The 20653-nt window shown below is 35.4% G+C and overlaps 1 protein-coding gene across 10 annotated transcripts in view, besides 1 other annotated feature; it reads right to left on the bottom strand.

The window, feature by feature from the left end:
• Nucleotides 1-20653, bottom strand: part of PHF3 (PHD finger protein 3) — a 90210-nt gene that overhangs the window by 26153 nt on the left and 43404 nt on the right. For 8 of the 10 annotated variants that reach the window (NM_001290259.2, NM_001370348.2, NM_001370349.2 and 5 more), the window contains 6 exons: nt 19698-19859; nt 13948-15730; nt 7816-8122; nt 5095-5278; nt 1492-1636; nt 1254-1410 (listed from right to left, as the gene is read on the bottom strand). In NM_001290259.2, coding sequence (NP_001277188.1) covers nt 1254-1410; nt 1492-1636; nt 5095-5278; nt 7816-8122; nt 13948-15730; nt 19698-19839 — 2718 coding nt within the window. In that variant the 5' untranslated portion in view covers nt 19840-19859. Of the gene's footprint in view, nt 1-1253; nt 1411-1491; nt 1637-5094; nt 5279-7815; nt 8123-13534; nt 15731-19697; nt 19860-20653 lie in introns of those variants that run through there. The other 2 variants (NM_001370350.2, NM_001290260.2) reach the window with 2 other exon arrangements.
• Nucleotides 13882-14251: an enhancer, noted in NCBI's record as "active region_24722". NCBI's record gives its function as "activates an Ori minimal core promoter by ATAC-STARR-seq in GM12878 lymphoblastoid cells {active_cell/tissue: GM12878}" and the evidence as "EXISTENCE:reporter gene assay evidence [ECO:0000049][PMID:35858748]".

Raw genomic sequence — 20653 nt, 5'->3', positions numbered from 1 at the left:
CCAGCACTTTGGGAGGGCAAGTCAGGAGGATCACAAGGTCAGGAGTTTGGGACCAGCCTGGCCAAAATGGTGAAACCCCGTCTCTACTAAAAATACAAAAATTAGCTGGGCGTGGCGGCGTGTGCCTGTAATCCCAGCTACTCGGGAGGCTGAGGCAGGACAATCATCTGAACCCGGGAGTGGAGGCTGCAGTGAGCTGAGATGGCGCCACTGCACTCCAACCTGGGCGACAGGGCAAGACTCTGTCTCCAAAAAAAAGATAAAAAAACCTGAGGGAAATAAATCTTTATTTAATTGCTGAAGAAAAGCTTCCAGATTATGTAATTCCAGAAGCATCTGATCCTCGGGACCATGATGGCAGAATGTACAATTTTAAGTCTCTGTTAGTGTACTTCAAGAAAATACCTCAAATCACCTACTGTAGCAAATATCCTTATACAAATTTATATCAGTTGTGTGAAAACCTTTTATGCAAAAAGGTTGCATCTAATCACATTCTGTTACCTAGAGTAATCTATAGCAAAAAACTGCTGGTGGACCTAGGTAAATGTCACACACAAGAGATCAGTCATGTTCTGAACCTTTAAAATGTTCGCTGGCATGATTTTTGCTTATTGTACTTATCAGAGACCTACTTTTGGTGTTGAGAGCTAACACTGACACATACACGCACACACATGCACAGCCTTTAGATTTCCTCTGTCCAAAACATGAAATCCCAAGAAAAAATTAGGGGTTTAATTAACATTTACTCTACTGCTATAATACTTGGAACTAAAGTTATATTTAAGACTATCTTTAGAACTAAAGTTATGTATTTTCTTAAGAAAATAAATTACATTTCGATAAAAACAATTTAAAAGCATTTTTACTCTATCTTCAGATTTAAGTACAAAATAGCTCTATTTTCAGATTTAAGAAAAAAATAGTGTTATAAATTTTAGCTTAAAAGTTTTTGAAGAATACATATGAATGAATTTTTTAATAAATTGTATTATATAAAGGAGAGTAAAGAAAAAATAATATAAATCAGGTTAAGACACGTTTAGCATTTCAGTAGACTGAATGGTTAATGCTATTAGTATGCAGAATTATTCAGTAGCAAAAAGACTATTAAAATTACATGTTCTACATCAAAAGCAAATTATAATCTCACTCCAATTAATAAATTATAGATCTACTGTATTACAATCTGAGATACCTATGTACTCAGGAAAGTTGGAAGCATAAACATATGAACAAAGCATACTTACATTGTTTTTAGGATCTTTCAAATTAAACATCAAACTTCTATATTTGTTCTTATATTTAGCATCTGTGTCCCGAAAAAAAGAGAAAAGCTCTTTCTCAATTTTTGTGGCAACTTTTGCTGCCTTTTCCTCTGGTACCTTCAAATTTGAGTCTGTAAGTCTTAAAATTAGAACAATTCAATTATTTTTCAAATGTATAAAGCATAATTATTGATACTTCTATAATAAAAATATATGTTACCTCTTCATAAGAATGTCTTTGAGAGAATGTCTGACACTTTGCCTGATCTGATCTGCAGAAGGCTTGGAAGCAGAAGCAGCAGGATGTACATTAAGCACTCCTTTTTCAACTTTCTTCTTTTTCATCTCTTGCTTCTCATGAGTACCTAATTTGAATAAATATCGAAACTCATTACATTGCTTTTAAAAATATCTTTCCTTTTTAATGAATAAGTTTACAAACAAAACTGATTAAAAGTCACTATTTAGAAATAAGATCAGAACCCACAATCCATATTGAAATATTCCTGACACTGAAATCCTAATTAAAATGAATAGTGACTAAAAACTGGTCCTACTCTTTCCTCAATTTAGACAATGGCTTTTAGAGCTAGTTATTTTTCCACACATATATATTAATTAACTTTTAAAAAGTTTTCAGAAATTTTGATCTGAACTTATTAGGAGCAGATAACCTAATACCACAAAATTGATGAATCTCTTCTGGTTTTACTAATTTGAATGTTAAGCTTTTCAAATTATTTTTATTCTATCATTACTAATTCCCAAGCATCTCCAAAATCTCAATGTCAAACATCCCACTGCTCTGACTTATTATACCAGCACATTTATTCTAGAATCTCCTCATGCCAACAATTCTTAAATCTATGATTTTTACCATCTTCATGTATTCACTTTTCATACATTATAAACTTAGATTAGACAGTCTAATACCATTACCAGCCCCTCGTATACTTAATATCTTTATTCTCTCTCTTTTAAACATGTGTGTTGGCAAAACCACAACCCTGCTCAAAGCCAACTTTTATCCTTCACCCAAATAGGCAACAAACGGCTGAAGACAAGGGAGAAAAATAAGCACTGGTACTGACAGATGTCATTTTAAATTTATAACCACAAGTTTTAAGTAGGTAACTCAACCTTCTGCCCTAATCCTATTAACTTTTCCTAATAAATTTGCTCTCCCACTTTTTAAGATATCTATTTCATACTTTTTCTCCTCTCATCTCAAACCAACAATACCTCCTTCTCAACTACAATCTTTTTGATTTGCTCTTCATATTTCACTGAAAAAAAATGGAAAAACTGTCAACTATCATTTTCCCATTACCAAATCCAACCTACCTACATTAGTTCTTCCCCCTACCACATACAACCTTCCCTACTATCCAATGGATGAGCTTTACCTTTCTGATAAATACCTCCCTCCATGTGGAGTGAATCCCATCCCCTCTTGTCTTCCCGAGTTTCACACCTACACTATCACTTCTCTCTCTTACATCATCAACATCATCTCTCTCTAGCCGTCTCTTTCTATTGGATCATTCCCATTAGTCTTACAAACATGCTATGATATCTTCTTTAAAAAAAAAATTCACATCCACTTCTAACTACTACGGCATTTGTTTCTTTAAACAGCAAAACTCCCTGAGAGTTATCTGTAATCAACGTCTCCAGTTCCTCACTCTTCCATTCATTCATAAGCCACTACAACTGGTTTTTTTCCCTACTGCTCCACCGAAACCATTCTAGTCAAGGTCACCAGTGATTTCCATTTTGCTAAGTCATAGACTTAACAATCTTGTGTTAATCTTACTAAATGTCCAGACAGCATTTGGTCATTCCTTCCTTCTTGAAACTTCACCTGGCTTCCAGGCCACCAGTCTCAGTTCTCCTCTTTCCTCACAGGCCACCCATTAGTTTCCTTTGCTGTATAACCTCTTCTCTCCCCAACTCTTAAATGCTGATGGCCAGGTTCAATGGCTCATGCCTGTAATCCCAGCACCTTGAGAGGCCAAAGCAGGAAGATCACTTGAAGGCCAGGAGTTTGAGACCAGCCTGGCCAACATAACGAAACACCATCTCTACAAAAAATCAAAAAATTAGCTGGGTGTGGTGGTGCACACCTGTAGTCCAGCCACTCAGGAGGTTGAGGCGAGAGGATAGCTTGAGCCCAGGAGTTCAAGGCTGTAGTGAGCTGCTATTGCACTACTGCACTCAAGCCTGGGTGACAGAGTGAGACCCTGTCACAAAAATAAAGTAAAAATAAATGCTGGTGCTTCCCAAGGGCTCTGCTTCTGTCCCTTCATTGTCAAACTCTCCTGTAGCTATTTATATCTAAGCCCATGATTTTAAATACAGGTTGAGTATGCCCTTATATGAAATGCTTGAGACCAGAGTATTTTCAATTTCAGATTTTTTCAAATCTTGGAATATTTGCATTGTACTTACCAGTGGAGCATCCCAAATCAGAAAATCTGAAATCCACAATGCTCCAACAAGCATTGCCTTTGTGCATCATGCCAGCATTCAAGTTTCAGATTTTAGATTTGGGATGTTTAACCTGTACTAACTGCTATGCACTAGTAAATCCCAAATTTATATACCAACCTCCAAAGTCTTCTAATAGGCTCCAGACTCATCAGCCAAAGATTTACTCAAAACATTTCCATCTCGATGTCTAATAGGAATCTCATAATGGCCAAAACATAATTTTTCAATTTTCTTCCCCAAACCTTTTTCTTTTCTCAGACTCTATTTCCTTCACCAATACCAACCTATATCTAACCCATCAGCAAGTTCTGTCAACTCTATTATAAAACATATGTGAATCTGACTACTACTCACTACCTTCATTCTATTTCCATTCCAAGCTACCATCATTTCTTTCCTAGGATATTGCTACGGACTAATCAGGCTACTCTCTTTCTCTCCTGCCTTCCTACAATCCAAACTGTACAGAGCAACCAGAGTTTTCCCTTGCACAAAACCCTCTAAAGGTTTCCCACAACATTCAGAACAAAATATAAACTCTGCCATAGCCCCAAAGGTCCCATGAGGTAGAATAAACCATCAGAGTACCTGCTACTCTTGTTCTAATTACAATCCACAAAGAATTACTAGTAAAACTGGAATTCTGGGATCCTTGGGAGAAATTAATCACATCCTACTAATAATGTTCCTGAAAGACAGGGAGAGGAACGCTATACAGATAGACATATACTCAGGTTTTAAAATAGGGTACGAGCAATAATTTTCTCTGAACTCATCTTCTAACACTGTTCTATCCCTTTATGTATTACCTTCTAATCACTCTACAGTGGCTTTCTTGCTCCTCAAATGCCACACTTCTTTCTACCACAAAGCCTTAAGATTTGATGTGTCCCTTACCTAGTACCTCCTCCAAAAATCTTTGCACCCCTTCAAATCCCACCTCACAAGTTACTTCCTCCATTCCATGTAAAACAGAAGTCCCATTACTCTTCCCACCTGTGACTATCCATCCCATTACTCCACTTTTTCTTCTCAAGCTGTAAAATAACATGCAATTTTCTTACTTGCAAACTTACTGCCTTCTTCCATTAGTATTTAAGTGCCATGAGAAGAGGGGTCTTATCTTAATTTCACTAGCGCTTCCCCAGAATTTAGAGCAAGTTTTTAATTACAAGTAAGGCCAATCACCTAACCCATTTGTATTGCCTTAATGGCAATACAACATTTAATAATGTTAAATTTGTAAAAATTCCCTAAGTATACTAATTAATTGTATCTTAAATAAGATATAAATATATTAGTATATAATTTTTTCTGTTCATCTCACTACCTGGTTTTGAAGCTTTTTCTCCTGTGCAAGTAACAGTTGTAGACTCTTTCGGTATTTTTTCACTTTTTTCTTCTGAGGATCTCCGAGGTAAAACTGGTTGTCCCATCTTACGAAGAGGAGCTAGCTGCCATTTTTTAATTTCATTATCTCTACAGTCTGATGAATTTCTGCCTTCACCAGACTCCTGGAAAATGAGTACTTAATTCATTAGAATGAAAATAACTAAACAATCTTTGTTTTTTAAGACGTACAAAAATAACTCTTGATTATTAGTAAAATGAGATTCACTCTTTCATTCGAAATCTATTCTGCACCTATTTTGTGTAGAACACATAATAGCTTATAAAGGAGAAACAAAGGACATAGAGATCATGTTCCCAATACCATTAGTAGAAAGAAAATTAAAAATAAGGTAGTAAGAATTCTCTTATTTGGCTCTGGATATGGAAAAAGGAGGAAATTGTAAAGAAACAAGTATCTATATTCTAAAACAAATGAAATTAAGTTCACTTATATACTAGCAAGTGTATCAATTAAGTTCTCAGTATGCCTATTGGCAATTTTAATTCCCATGAGGTAGAATAAACCATCAGAGTACCTGCTACTCTGGTTCTAATTATAATCCACAAAGAATTACCAGTAAAACTGGAATTCTGAGATCCTTGGGAGAAATTAATCACATCCTACTAATGTTCCTGAAAGACAGGGAGAGGAACGCTATATAGTCAGACATATACTCAGGTTTTAAAATAGGGTACAATCAAAATAGTGCTTTTCTCTAGACTAAGAATCCTCTAATTTTTTATTTATTTGTCTGGTTTTTGTCTGCAACTAGACATTCTTGAGAGCAGGAATATACTTCAATATTATACACCCAAGGCACGTAGTGCTATGCCACACAACAGAAACTCAATAAATAGTTCAACATAAAAATCTAGGGATAAGAAAAGCAGATTCCATAAACTAACATCAGACAAGTCCAAGAGAGAGTCAACAGTTCACATCAAAAAGAAAAGGAAGCAGTGATCACTTGTATGGTGCACACATTTACAAAATCAGACTCACCTCAGATTCTTTTCTGATACAGACTGGATAAAGAGGTTCTCAAAATGTTAAAATTGTTAACGTTTTATGATGTCTTTTCATTTATTTATGAGACGGAGTTTCACTCTTTTGCCCAAGCTGGAATAAAGTGGCACAATCCCAGCTCACTACAACCTCCGTCAGGTTCAAGCGATTCTCCTGCCTCAGCCTCCCAAGCAGCTGGGATTACAGGCATGCACCACCATGCTCGGCTAATTTTTGTATTTTAGTAGAGACGGGGTTTCACCATGTTGCCCAGGCTGGTCTCAAACTCCTGGCCTCAGGCGATCCGCCCACCTCAGCCTCCCAAAGTGCTAGGATTACAGGTGTGAGCCACTGCACTCAGCCTTTATGATGTCTTTTTAAGCAAGACAGAGACAACTCAGCTATGGTCAATACAATGAGCTATATTTCTCATTGTACTGCATATGTATATGGCCAAGAAGCTGTACGTAAGAGGTGATTATTAATACTAGTTAATAATAAATAGAAGTTTTCCAAAGACATGCTATAAACTGTTCTCATTGTGGCTCTCAGATCCATATTATCAATTACTTTGATGATCAAATCAACAAAGTAATAACACGTATCAGAAGGACAGAATCTGATTTTCAAAAAGTCTTGACAGACAAAAAATATTAGATGCCACAAGGATATGACAAACTAGAACTTAATCCAGATTTGTCGTACAAGGAATGCCTGAAAGAAACGGATTTGTTAATAGGTAAGATTCTGGAGAACACATCCTCATGCTCTTCAATCTAAATTAACTTCCATATCGTGTTGCAGAGAAATTAAGTTTTAATAAGGAGGCTTCAATTCAGGGATGCAAATTTCAGCTCAAACTGATCAACTTTCTGACAATTAGATGCTTAAAAATGAAGATGTATCCCCTTGCAATGGATTTCAAACAGAAACTAGATCATCACTTCCTAGAAATGTTGTAAGGCATATTAATAAATCAAAATGATTGGACCAAAAGATTTCTAAAGCTCCAACTCTAAGATTCATGTTCTTTGCGTTTTGGATTATACTTGCCTAACCACATACATGTGTTGCCACTGTTTCTCCTCTCTATCAGTATTCTATAAGAATAACAAATTAACGACTAAAAAAGTGATAGGTAATAAAAAGGTAGACAATGAGGAAAGAAAATTTAATCAGATAAAATGCCGTGTCCTTTATACATTTCTCCTATTAAAGCCTAAATATCTTGAAATTTCTATTTAGAAAATACTTTCAGAAGGTAGTCAAAAAAATAATGCCAAATGGTCAAAGGGCTGGTAGATATTTATGGACTGAAAAGCTTTTTTAAAACAACTTAGCAAGCACAATTTACACTTAATGGCCACAAGATCCACACACATCCTACAACAGAAAATTCAAGTACCAAACTAGGGGCTAGAAATGGCAAAAAAGACTGTAAGAGATAAGGCCTGCATATTCTAAAAGTCACCATCTGATTTCACCAAGACTGACAAAAAATTTTAAATAAAAACCTATTCACTTTCATGGAAAACTAAATTTGAAAATGTAAAAGAACATTAAAACTTCTAAAGAGAAATTTCAAAATTATTGCAGTCAGTCCATACAAAAAGCTCTTAAATAAACAAAATAATGCATTAATGAAGAGCTCACCCGTTTTAAAATTTTGACCTTGTGCTTCACTGTATCATCTATATATTTGGTTCTATCATTTGTTGTGTGTTTTGATAATCCAAGCTTTTCACACTCCATTGTTTTATCTCCACTATGGAATTCAACTGTAGCTTGGTTTTCCAAAGTATCTGGATCTAGTATTTCAGTCTTTTTGTCTTCTTCAGCACAACATTTTACACAGACATATTCTTTGTCTTCCTCGCCCATCTGCTGTGCTTGAGAAAGACTTAACCCAACACAATCACCATGAAACCAGTCATCACATCTCCCACAGCCAACCATAAACCTGGAAAACAGAACACCAAAAAACTTTTATCCCTTTTTTTAACAAGAAAATCTATGTCAAAAATGAGGCTAAATTAAATTTTCAATATCTGATTTTCTGAAACTTTGCATGTTTTCCATCTCTATCCGTTCCATAAGTTCAACATACAGCAAGTTTTCAAAGAAAATAATATTCTATTAAAATGATACCTTTAAGACCTCAAATATTTCTCCTCTGGTATGAATGAGAAAATGCTGGGGGAGGGAGGGGACAATAAACCATCAGGAAGAAAAGACAACTGGCCTTTGTCAGTCTTGAATACTATAAACAATAACAAAGTATAGACTAACAATAAATTTATCCACTGAGAAGGGTGGTAAGATCTTGGTAATAATTTCATCACGGACAATCCATCAAAGTTACAGCTACCTACCTCACCACAGACGTGACATCACATATAAAATTGGGAAGAATTGTTTATCCAACAAATCGTTTTAAATAAAAGAAAAAACCAACAATAGTAACAAAAATGGAACTCAAAAACTAGCATGATGGAGCCTCTCAAACTGTTTATTAGCCACCTTACCTAGATAACCTCAAAATATTCTGGTTCATGGTGTCACGCTGATTCAGCTAAAGAATCTTTTTCTGTACTTTTAAGTTCAAAGGACTTCCTTACTAATGACCATGTGTTTTAGATAAATTTCTTTTTCCAAATAAAGATCACTATTCTATCTTAACATAAAAATATTAGTACTTGGGTTGGATTTAATTCCCAATCTCCTTATAAAAGTTTTCCCATCACTGTCTTTTAGCTAAGTAATAACTTCACTAACCAATAGGAAAAGTCCAGGGATGTGAAACGTATGACTCTAAAAAAGCTTCTATCTTTCCAGTTTAAAAGGAGTATCTATAACTACTTTTGAAAATAATAGCAAATGAGATATATACACAGCAATTTAATTTACCTGCTTTTTAACCCATGGTTAGGAAAGCTGCAATGCTTTCAGACAACCATCCTTAACTTTGTCCTTTTTTCATCTTCAGGCTAGCAATTTATGATACAGCTGAAAGACTTAGAAGGATTTAGGTATGTACTTTAACAATCTAAAGACCGTGCTACTGATTTTGATAATAGTGGCACCACCAATAGTACCAAGCTCCTTTCAAAAAGCTGTAATCCAAGAGAGAGGATATTGAAGGTAACACACTGGGTGATATGGTCAATTCAAAATATACCAGAGGTACTGTTTTAATGTTAAAACTGTAAAAACTACAAGAGTGAGTTCCAATCCTTACAGTGTTTTTAAAGTCTTGCCAAATACCTCATTCCTCAATAACAGCACTTCCTTTTCTTCTTCCTCATGTGCCTATTGTGTATAAAACCACTACTATGCCTTGAGACTTGACTTCATCACATCTATAACTTATCATTCTTTATCCTTGCTGGTAATACCTGTGCTAGCTTTAGCAGGTTAAGTCCTCATTTCCCTAGGGATTAATTTGGTTTAAAAAAATAATATAGAATATTTGGGGTTGACAAGCAAGAAAACTTTCGAACAATGTTAACACACGTTTAGAAGACAGAAATAATTCCTACAGGTTTGAGATTTTTGATGGGCCCATAATGATACAGATATTCTAGCAAAAGTGGAATAAAGCTTGAAATGCAGGTGTTTAAAAGTTCTCCCACTTCGAGTTGCAAAGCTAAAATATTAAAAATGATTATTTGTAATGAGCATTGTAGCTTTCCTAACAATGGGCTAACTGCTATTTCTTGAAAGCAACTGTCTAACATGAATGTTTCTGAAATGCTGAAGGAAAGCTAATGATTTCCCTTTACTTCCACAATCAAAGGTATATTAAGATTTCTTCAAAGCAAGTCTGGGATAGTTTCAGTGAGACATGACTTAAAAACCTACAGTACAAATAATGCTATTGTTCCAAATCCAAACCTAAAGGTCAAAATATAAAGCACATATTAAGGAATTTTCACATTTTTATTTCACAACCAGGGAAGAGTGGTTTGATGATCGTGAAATTTATCAAGCAATTCTTTCAATAAGCCTCATTTCAAGTTGGAAATGTCTCATTCAAACTTGAGAGGCTATAAAAAGCAAAACTCTAGTGCCATCTACAGATGTATCTTAATAGTTTATATTTTAGGTTAAAAAATGCAGTTTTAAGAGTTTTTGAGAGAGAGAAAAGACTCACTCTTCTAAGATCAGAGAATTCTACGTCACATAAACATTAAATCATTTTTGTTACTAACAATCTGCAGAGAAAAATAGAATCATTTGTTCTAGAAGAAAATTTCTTCTCAGAAGTTTTCTTGTTTGAAAGCTATAAATCCATTTTCTAAGTCTGTTTGTTTTTTAAATATTATCTGATATACTAGTCTTCTACAATTGGGGCCAAGAAAGTGTAATGCAAACTAAAAACTCAAGCATCTTCTGGAGAAGTAGAAAAACAGAAACCACAAGGTAAATAACATGAAAAAACTAAGACTTCCTCCTTACAAAATGCCAACTGACTTACGTTTAAAAGAAGTTCAAAAGTTGCATTAATTTTAAAAATCAGAGGATTAAATAATCTGGTCTTTAAAATCATACACCTTTGATGTAAGTTTGAATCAGGAAAATAAAAGGAAGCAATAAAAATCTAGCATATGTTGCTTCTTTAAGGGTCTACTGTCTTTAGGATATGCATAGAAGTTGCTTATGATTAATATCACATCTAGCCATGACACAGCTATATTACAAAATATAATTTCCAACTGGGAGCACACACAAGGAAACTAACTTCAACTGCAATACGTAAAATGATAAAGCGTTTATATAGTCTTTACAGAGGCAAAGCTGTTGCAAATGCTAGAAAATGTGTCATATTAACAAACAGCTTTCAATGTATCTAGTGCATGAAATCAAAGAGAAGGATCAAAATTATTTCCAAACATGCCCTTTCTAATAAATTTATATTCTTACACAAGGATTAGAATAGGAAAATTGCAACCTGCATGACAGGTGCATTTTCTGAGTAAACGAAATGTATACAAGCACAATGTATCAAAGTAGTAGAATCACAGTAGTAGTGAAGGCTAGTTAATATGTAAAAACAACAATCAGCTGGGCGCCATGGCTTGTGCCTGTAATCCCAGCACTTTGGGAGGCTGAGGCGGGCGGATCACCTGAATTCAGGAGTTCGAGACCAGCCTGGCCAACACGGTGAAACCCCATCTCTACAAAAAATACAAAATAAGCTGGGCATGGTGGCATTTGCCCGTAATCCCAGCTACTTGGGAGGCCGAGGCAGGAGAATCACTTGAACTCAGGAGGTGGAGGTTTCAGTCAGCCAAGATCACACCACTGCTCTCCACCCCTGGGCAACAGTGAGACTTTGTCTTAAAAACAAGAGAAGAGGAGGGGAGGGGAAGGGAGGGGGAAGGGGAGGGGGAGGAGGGGAACGGAAGGGGAAGGGGAGGGGGGAGGAGGGGAGGGGGGAGGAGGGGAAGGGGGGAGGGGAGGGGGAGGGGAGGGGAAAAAAACAATTACATAGGCTTTTTTTTTTTTTTTGAGACGGAGTCTTGCTCTGTCACCCAGGCTGAAGTGGAGTAGCATGATCTCGGCTCACTGCAAGCTCCGCCTCCCGGGTTCACGCGCCATTCCCCTGCCTCAGCCTCCCAAGTAGCTGGGACTACAGGCGCCCGCCAGCACGCCCAGCTAATTTTTTGTATTTTTAGTAGAGACGGGGTTTCACCGTGTTAGCCAGGAAGGCTTTAATTCACAAAATTGAAGTAATCGAAAATTCTGCTTCCATAATTGTTTCCAATGTTAAATTATTCACATCAATTACAGAGTGTAAACCCAAAATCTCTATGCACCTGACATTCTAAGTCATTCTACAGACTTGAGCAAAAACACTCTAGATTCTATACAGTAGATCCAAAAGGTGGCAGCAAGTAAACAACAACAAAGGGACTAACACCTACTCTTAATTTAGGAAAATTATTAAATGTTGGTGAAGCATGAGTCATCATTAAAAAGCCTGGGCAAACTCCTGAAGACTGGACTGGAACTTTATCTACAAGGTTAGTACGTTACATTATAACTTACTAACATGGCTTCCAACTCTATGCCAAAGTTTCATGTTAGAAATTCATTTACTTAAGGCACCTATTCCATCTCTCTGTCCACATGATAATTTTTTAAAGATTCTGGCAGAGAGAAAAAGGCTGGTTTAAAGGAGCACTTAAAAGCACCACCTAACTCTTAATTCTCTTTTGCCTGAAAACAGCAGGCCCACTTCAGAATATTTGAGTAATGTGTTCATTTATTTATGGAGACAGTCTCACTTCGTCACCAGCTAGAGTGCAGTGGCTCAATGTCGGCTCACTGCAACCTCCATTTCTCAGGTTCAAGTGATTCTCATGCCTCAGTCTCCCACATAGCTGGGATTATATGCATGCACCAGCACACCCAGCTAACTTTTGTATTTTTAGTAGAGACGGGGTTTCACCATGTTGGCCAGGCTGGTCTCGAACTCCTGACCTCAAGTGATCTGCCTACCGCCCACCTCAGCCTCCCAAAGTGCTGGGATTACAGGCATGCGACTGCGCCTGGCTGAGTAAGGTGTTTTAAATAAAAAAACCATATAATTAAGAGCATGTAAGTGACAGTGAATGTAGCACTGTATTCAAACAAGTGACAACTTTTAAAAACTGGAATATATTGTTATAAACTAACCCTTGACGCTAAAAATAGGCCACGGGCTGGATCACAAATGAAGAAATACTTTGACATAAAACTTATTTTACACAATAGCCCCAACATCTCCTTTCCGATCTCCCCAATCACCCTAACACCACCAAAATAATATGTTACAACACACTTTACTAAATTGTCCCTCCCTAAAGAGCTTCATTTTTATGTACTAAGATAGTGCTGGGAAAAATCACTCTAGCACACTTTCATGAATAAGGATAAGAAGAATATAATATACAAATTATAATGTTCTTTTATCATATCAGCATTGAAAGAAGTTCCAACAGCAATATGAACACTTGAACAGAATAATCTGGTAGCTGCAAACTCCACTTCATCTCTTGCTTTCCTTTTCTTAAAAAGCTAACAAAAAACACATTGGGGATTGAGGGGTGCAGTGTCATAAAACTACAAATCACTGAATACTAGAAAGAATGATGAAAGTCAGTGCTAAAATCATCTCAAATTTTAAAAAGACTAGAATTCACAAAAAATTATTTAAAACATTCAAAAAAAGAAATACGTTTTTCACTCTATTTCATGTTGACCTGGGTAATCTAACAATTGTTTAGCTGTCAAATTTCACTGCAAGATAAAGTTTGATAGTTATGAAATGGTGTTCTTTAATATGTTTCATTTTAAGAAAAAAAAAAACTTCAAAAGAAAAATAGAATTTCCATTATGACCTTCATACTTTATTACTAGTTCTTCTCACACCAAATGAATTAATATATAACTTACAGACCCAAAGCAGTATAACAATTTTCCAATTACCAGGAAGTGTTTGGCTTTTTTGCAGATGCAGTGGCTAAATTACACTGTCTAACCTGTGACAATGACAAAATATTTCCATGTATGTCAGCTGTTGGCCAGACTATGCTTTTTTAAATGTTCTAGGATGATATATTTGTAAATTCAGTAGATCCATCTTTCTATCATTTATCCAAGACTGATGAAGCTTTTTGTTTTTGCACAGGTCTCTGTGTATCAAATAATGTCTTTAAAACAATTCTCACATTAATCCCACCCCCAAAAAAGCAATTTATTTTCAATGTACACATCACTCATACACACATACACACACACCTGTTGCCATGTGGTTTTTTGCAAAACCCACACTGCTTGCTGGGAGTCCACATATATTTGCTTTCAAATGAGGAGCTATGATCAGAGCCTTCTCTTCTTATGGTAGCTATGTTATCTGGAATGAACAATGGTGGCTCATCTAAAGAAAAACTTTTGCTGCTTCTTCTTTGGCGGGGTTGTAGGTTCTTCTCAGGTTTTTTCAGTTTCAGTTTATCCTCTTCCTTAAAATGCTCAACGCCTGGGTGTTCAAGCTCTTCCTTCACGTGACTATTGGTTTTCATTGCTGGGGCCTGTTGCTGAGGCTTATGACACTGTTTCTGGCTAGAATGTGATACATGTCCAGTTTGTGCAGGATGATGAGGTTCTTTCAAGCAACCAGGATGAGCGTGTGACTTATCACTCAAAGAATGAGTTAAGGGCTTGAAAATTTGTACTAAAGTTTGATCCTGTAATGTTTTTTTCAGTACAGAATGAGCTTGGTTTTTCACAGATTTAACCCCAGAATTGCAACTCTGAATCTTTGGCTCCTTATCAATTTGTTTTTTTCTGACTTTGACTGGCCTATGAAAATTTTGCTGAGATTCTGGTACATCAGTATTTCGTTTCACACTTTTGACATTAACTTTAGTTTTGCTATGTATTACTTCATACTTTGCTGCAACAATTTTCTTCGGAGCATCTGTGGTCATGTTTTGCTTAGAATGAATTACAGGTTTTGTATGTTTGGATTTTACACTTTTTGACTCTAAGTAAGAAACGCTACTTGACTGGCTGTTTCTGTCATCCTGAAGGTTTGCTGTTTCATGGGACTCTATTTTAGTACTTTCTATAGCATTCAACTGTTTTGAATTTTGGTCAGGCACATCACAAATAGCATTTTCCAAGATATTACTTTCCGGTCCAAAAGTACTAGTATCAACCACCTCTAAGTTTGATTTATTAAACTCAGTGCTCTCCAACTGCCTATTAGACTCCGCATCTTCACAATAACCCAACGGTTCAATTTTATTTCTTTCAAGGGTGTTCTCAGTTTTATCAGCAATACCCATGGTATCCTTCAATTCCAAATTACATTCAGTCACTTCATCTACACAACTAGGCAAACCTACAAGGCTGTTTTCTGTCTTATTTGGATTTGTACAAGCAGCATCACTAGAAATATCAGAAGATCCAGCGTCCTCAAGAATATGGTCATCTTCATGGGATAATTTTACTGTCTCCTTTGAATCTTGTTCAACTTTTCTTGTTGCTATCATTTCTTCAACAACAGTCTCACCCGTTTTACCTGAAATGGAATCATTTTGTTCATGTTCTTCTTTATCTGAAAACTTAAACAATGGACTACCAACAGGCTTGGCTTTACATTCCATCAAAGCTTCATTTTTCTTTTCTCCAATAGTAACACAAGTCTCTGAAAGAAGTGAACAATTTAATTCATGAGATGGCACATCTATTTCTCCCGGATTATTACACTTATGCTTAGAATCTAATCCATCTTCATCCTTCATTTCAAGACAAGATGACACTGAAGAATGACTTGAAGACACTGATACTTCAGGTACCACTTCAATTTGTCCGCTATTTCGGCTGCACCTTCTATTCTCCTTATGGTACTCAGGTTTCAGTGACATACATACTTCTTCTTTAACCTGACTCCTTTCTGGTTGTTTCACTCCTGCTTTAGCAGTAGATACAGTCTTCCCAGATGCTTTTTTTGTGTTACTTAATGGTGCTGCATTTGAACGCTTGGCAATAGTGCTCTGTCGCAAACTTCTTACTTGTTCTATCACAGGGGGAAAAAATAAATAAAAATACTTAGCTATTTTGTCATGTGCTTTTATTTCAATACAATTTAGAATATATCACTTCTTTATTCTGAGCTATAATTTGCTCAACAAAAATGTATTGAACAGTACTCATAATGGTGACATGATATATATACACATATATATAATTTAACATATGTCAAATTTTATATTTATCAAAGTTCTCTGAATTCTAGCAGGGGGAAAAGCCTCTAAAAAATTCAGACTAATATTATACCTTATTAAAAGAAATGTTTTCATCAAATCTCTTTTCCATAAAAAGTAACCTAGGAGTGACGTAAGTAAAATGAGCTTCCTTTACCATTAATGCCCATATTAAAGCAAGACCATCATGGATTTTTAAACATTAAATATTTCTAAATATATAAAACCAAATATATTCCAGTGCTAAAGAAACCTGAACTAAAAACCTCCTATCACAAACCAGGATCTGTGCGAGTTTCAAAATACAGCCTCAAACGGACTCTAATTCCTTTATCAATGTGCTTCCCTTAGGTCACCATTTTAGCATTAAAGCTATTCCTAAGAAATGATATCAACACAGAGTACCACATACAGCTCATCAAAAAAGAAACACAATTTAAAAGACTTAAACCAAGCAAATGTATCATAAGGAAAGTATGAAAATTTAAAAGCTTCCCACACAATGCTCCTAATAGTCCATTAAATGAAAAGAGTTTCATTTCCCTATTCTGATACATCCCCCCCTTGTATCAGGAGAAAGGAGAAACACAAAATGAAAAGAGCTAAAAAGAAAGAGAGCTAAATAATTCAGTAAGTACAAAAACAACCCACAAACTGAATTTGTCATTTATCACTGAACTGTGAGAATCTTTAAAAAGGTAAATGTCCAGGTGTTGCTCGTAGTTCTGATCTAGTATTAATAGCACACTTTCATTTTCAAAAGTATGCCCAATTTGAACAATAAAATTATATAGTCATCCTTATCTTAGAGACCCTTTCTAATTCCCATAGGACACAACAAAGTATCTGAGTATTAGGTTAAGTACTTAATAACTTTTAAAAATTACTTGGTGGGTTATGAACTATTTATCACATATTCAGTTATAAAATTTTTTTAAATAACTAAAATTTTAATAAAGCTTTGTTTCAATATTTAGGTGATCTTTAAAGCTTTAAAGACAGATTATAGTAATTTACAGCTCTATTCATCCTTGAAATGAAACAAATGAAGGATTTTAACACTTATTACACATTAATAAATAAAGATCTTTTAACACCCAAGCGGTTGCTAAAAATGACAAAAGAATAGTATATTCAGCTGTGAAGGATTTTCAGATAAAAAGTGGTTTTCCAATAGGAAGCAATTTATTAAGCAAAGGCTAAAGTCACTTTTTCTCCTCTAAATATTACCTGCCTTAGTTTGAAGCCTGATTCTATAGGCAAAAAAGTTTTATTTTCCTACAATGTTTATTCTATTCTTTTCATTTCTCAAAGCCACACGTATATACCAAATAACTGATTTTGAAAATGTATTAAAAACATAGATCAAGAAAAGATGATGAAATAAATACATGGATCTAAATTTATTCACTTCTCAAAACCCTACTGAAGCTATAACAGCGGGACATTTTTTGAAAAGTCCAAAAGGCAAGGAAGAACGAGAGAGGAAAAACCAGCAGCAAATTTTGGAAACCAAACAAGAGATGATTACCAAGTATTTGACATAAGAGACCCAAAAGTAATTAATAAAACACTAGGCTGGCAGTGTTGGCAAAAACTAACACCATTAACACCTCAAAAGTCTTAAGACTTGGTGGTCCCAGATGATTCTAAAGTGGGAATGAAGACAGATGCTTAACACTTAGAAGGGCTGAAAGCTCTTTAAAAGTAGCAGTTAGATTTCTAGATCCCTCTTTCCCCTACTCCATTTGTTGGGCAACTGCCCTTCCCTAGTCCTGAGCCAAAACTCGTAGCTTATTCTCTGGAGATAGTAAAGCAAGGTTTCTAGGCTAAAGAACATGAGGCACAGTTGAGACTGGCTGTAAAGTACATTGAAATTTGTAAGATTAAGTGAATTTGTATATACTGAAATCTGAGAAACCCCAGTCAGTTTCCCTTACAGGCTTCCATAATATGCTAGCAATCTAATAAGTTATGGAAAATAACCTAAATTCTGATAGGAAGGGTTCTGCCAAACAACAGTACAGCCAGATTGCTATACACTGACGCTCATAGCTGGTAAAACCCAATCCCCACACTTAGAAGTTTCATAATTTTAGTTCCCTACCCTTAAACATGAGCAATAATCAAGGGTCAGACATTTCAGGAGAGCATCTAGGAAAGATGGAGGCCAAAACCTTTTTAAACATTTTTTTTAAAATAATGCAACATTGAGAAGTCAGAAACTATGAAAGGAGACAAAAACTGTTTAAAACGCCATTAGTATCTTAATAAAGACAAAAGAAGATACTACATCCATGAAACATGAATAGAACACTACAGAAAGGACCATTCTCAAAACAACAACAAAAAGAACATTTAAGAATCAGAAGTACAAAACTTGACTGAAAAGTTGGAGGATAAATATGAGAAAATTTAAGCACGTTAAAGAAAAATTACAAAGAGGTAGGAAGTAGGCAAAATAAAGAAAACAGAGGGACCAGTCCCTGTTATGTAACAAATAATAAAGGTTCCAGAAATCAAGAGCTAACAAAATAAAGAGAGGAATTAACAATGAAATAATTTGAAAAATTTTCCCGGAATTGAACAATAACATTTTTCAGACTAACAGGATCTACTGAGTGTCTTGAGCTCCATACACAAAATACACCAAAACCAATACATATCATCATGAAATATCAAAACACCAAAGCTGAAGAGCAAGATTCCACAAACTTCCAGAAGAAATCAGATAACATACACTCCTACACACACACATCAAAATAAACTTCTCAACAACCCTGAAGTTAGAAAAAAATGGAGCAACACCTTCAGAATTTCTGAAGGAAAATGATTTCCAACCTTGAATTTTACATCCAACCAGACCATGATTCCAGTATGAGAATAGACTAAATACAAGGTAAACATACAAGGTTTAAAAAGTGTATCTCACAGCTCCTTTTTCTCACAAAACTACTGGAAGAGGTGCATCACCAAAATAAAAAAATTGAATCCAGAAAGAGGAAATAGGAACTACAACAAAAGCACAAAGCACAGACTTCCAGAAAAATGGTAAAGGGAGATCCCTGAACAGCTTTGCATCAGGCTCATAGGACTAACAGGAGTCTGTCTACATAAGAGGGGATCAGAAGGCTCCAAGAGGTGTTTTCAATAAAATGGATATGACAGAATACCTGAAATACACAAATATCTTTAGGGTAGATTTAGACAACTGGTAGAGCAGTTTTAGTATAACTGCTGGTATGTACACACTAAACAACTGAGAAACTAAAACACTTAAATCAGAAACACAAGAAGTCATACAAGAAAAGTAACTGTAGTTTATTAAATGTATCATCTCTAATAGCATATTACTCATACTAACATAATTACCATTGATCTAACAAAATTATATGATGGGGACAAGTAGCAGGAAGAAAACCATCCACAGTGGGAAGTCAATAGATGGATGAATAATAAATCAGAATAATCAAAAAACAGCAACATATGCATGTTACCTAGAGCTATAAAGGTAAATACCAAAAAAAAAAAAAAAAAAAAAAATTAAACCAGCTCAGAGTTACTAGTGGTTTCCCCTGGGGAAGGAGAAATGGGTAGTGTGGGGTGGTGGGTACTGAAAACTTATACAACAAATTGATATGATCTCAAAACTGATTGCCATCAAAACGAATGGATTAGCAAAACATCAAGAAAATATGATTTCTGCTCAGCAGGTTTATAACCTAACACATCTGTCCCTATACCTCTAATTTTCTAGCTAGACCTCTCTCAAAGGATTACCTTGTGCCATTAAACGAGGTGATTTTCTTGGAGATCTCACTGAATTTTCTTCTACCTTGTCCCTTAAGTTCCTGTTAGGTAAAATCAGTTCTTCTTCATCAATGGTATCATTGCCACTTTCTTTAACAACTCCTTCATCCATAATATCGTCAAGACCAACAACTAGAAAAAAACGACAAAAAAATTAACTTTTAAAAATATTGGGAATGTTAGGCAATTAAAGGCAGTACAGAAAATACTGTGAGATAGTCTTAATGTAACACTACATACTCTTGAAAATCTGGAATGTGAAATTTTCTAACATGTGAAATTGCCACTACCAAACTCCCAAATCAAGTCAGTTTTATAAACTTCCACCTTGTAAAGTAATTAGTCAAAGAGAGTATTAGCTATATTATACTCTTTCCTGATTTAGCCTCAAATATCACTTCCATTTATTACTTGCTGACCCCTTGTGAAAGACATAGGTGACTATACCTGGAGTACTCAAGTATCACAATTTTGGTTAAGGTAGTACAGGAGTTCCATACCCTGAAAGATTCTAGGTTCATGCTAGAATCAAAAATTCTACTTCTAACTGGGATCCCAATACTCTACTACAGACTTTATGCTACATGTATGAAAGCAAGCAATGCAGATGTACTTTTGACTGGTACCAAAAGAAAAAAAAAACAGGAAGAAACGGAAAAAAACAGAGAGAGGAAAAAAATGAAAAACATAATGTAACTTCCCCTTCCCCCAAATGCTGGAGAAAATAGTAGATGTTTAATATAGCTATATAATTACATTACCTTCTCCTAGTCAAAAGAGAGACAGACTCATGTATTTAATTTGTGGGGTGGAGAAAGAATGTAAAAAGACTCAGGAACAGTCAAAGAAATAGTAACACCGTACTCATATTGTCATTAGGTTTATTTCTGTGTAGAACAAATGCCACTTAGCCAACATGTATCAGT

Source organism: Homo sapiens, chromosome 6, assembly GCF_000001405.40.
Source record: "Homo sapiens chromosome 6, GRCh38.p14 Primary Assembly".
Lineage (NCBI taxonomy): Eukaryota > Metazoa > Chordata > Mammalia > Primates > Hominidae > Homo > Homo sapiens.
Note: the sequence above shows the minus strand (reverse complement) of the source record. Positions and strands in the feature narration are given on the sequence as shown.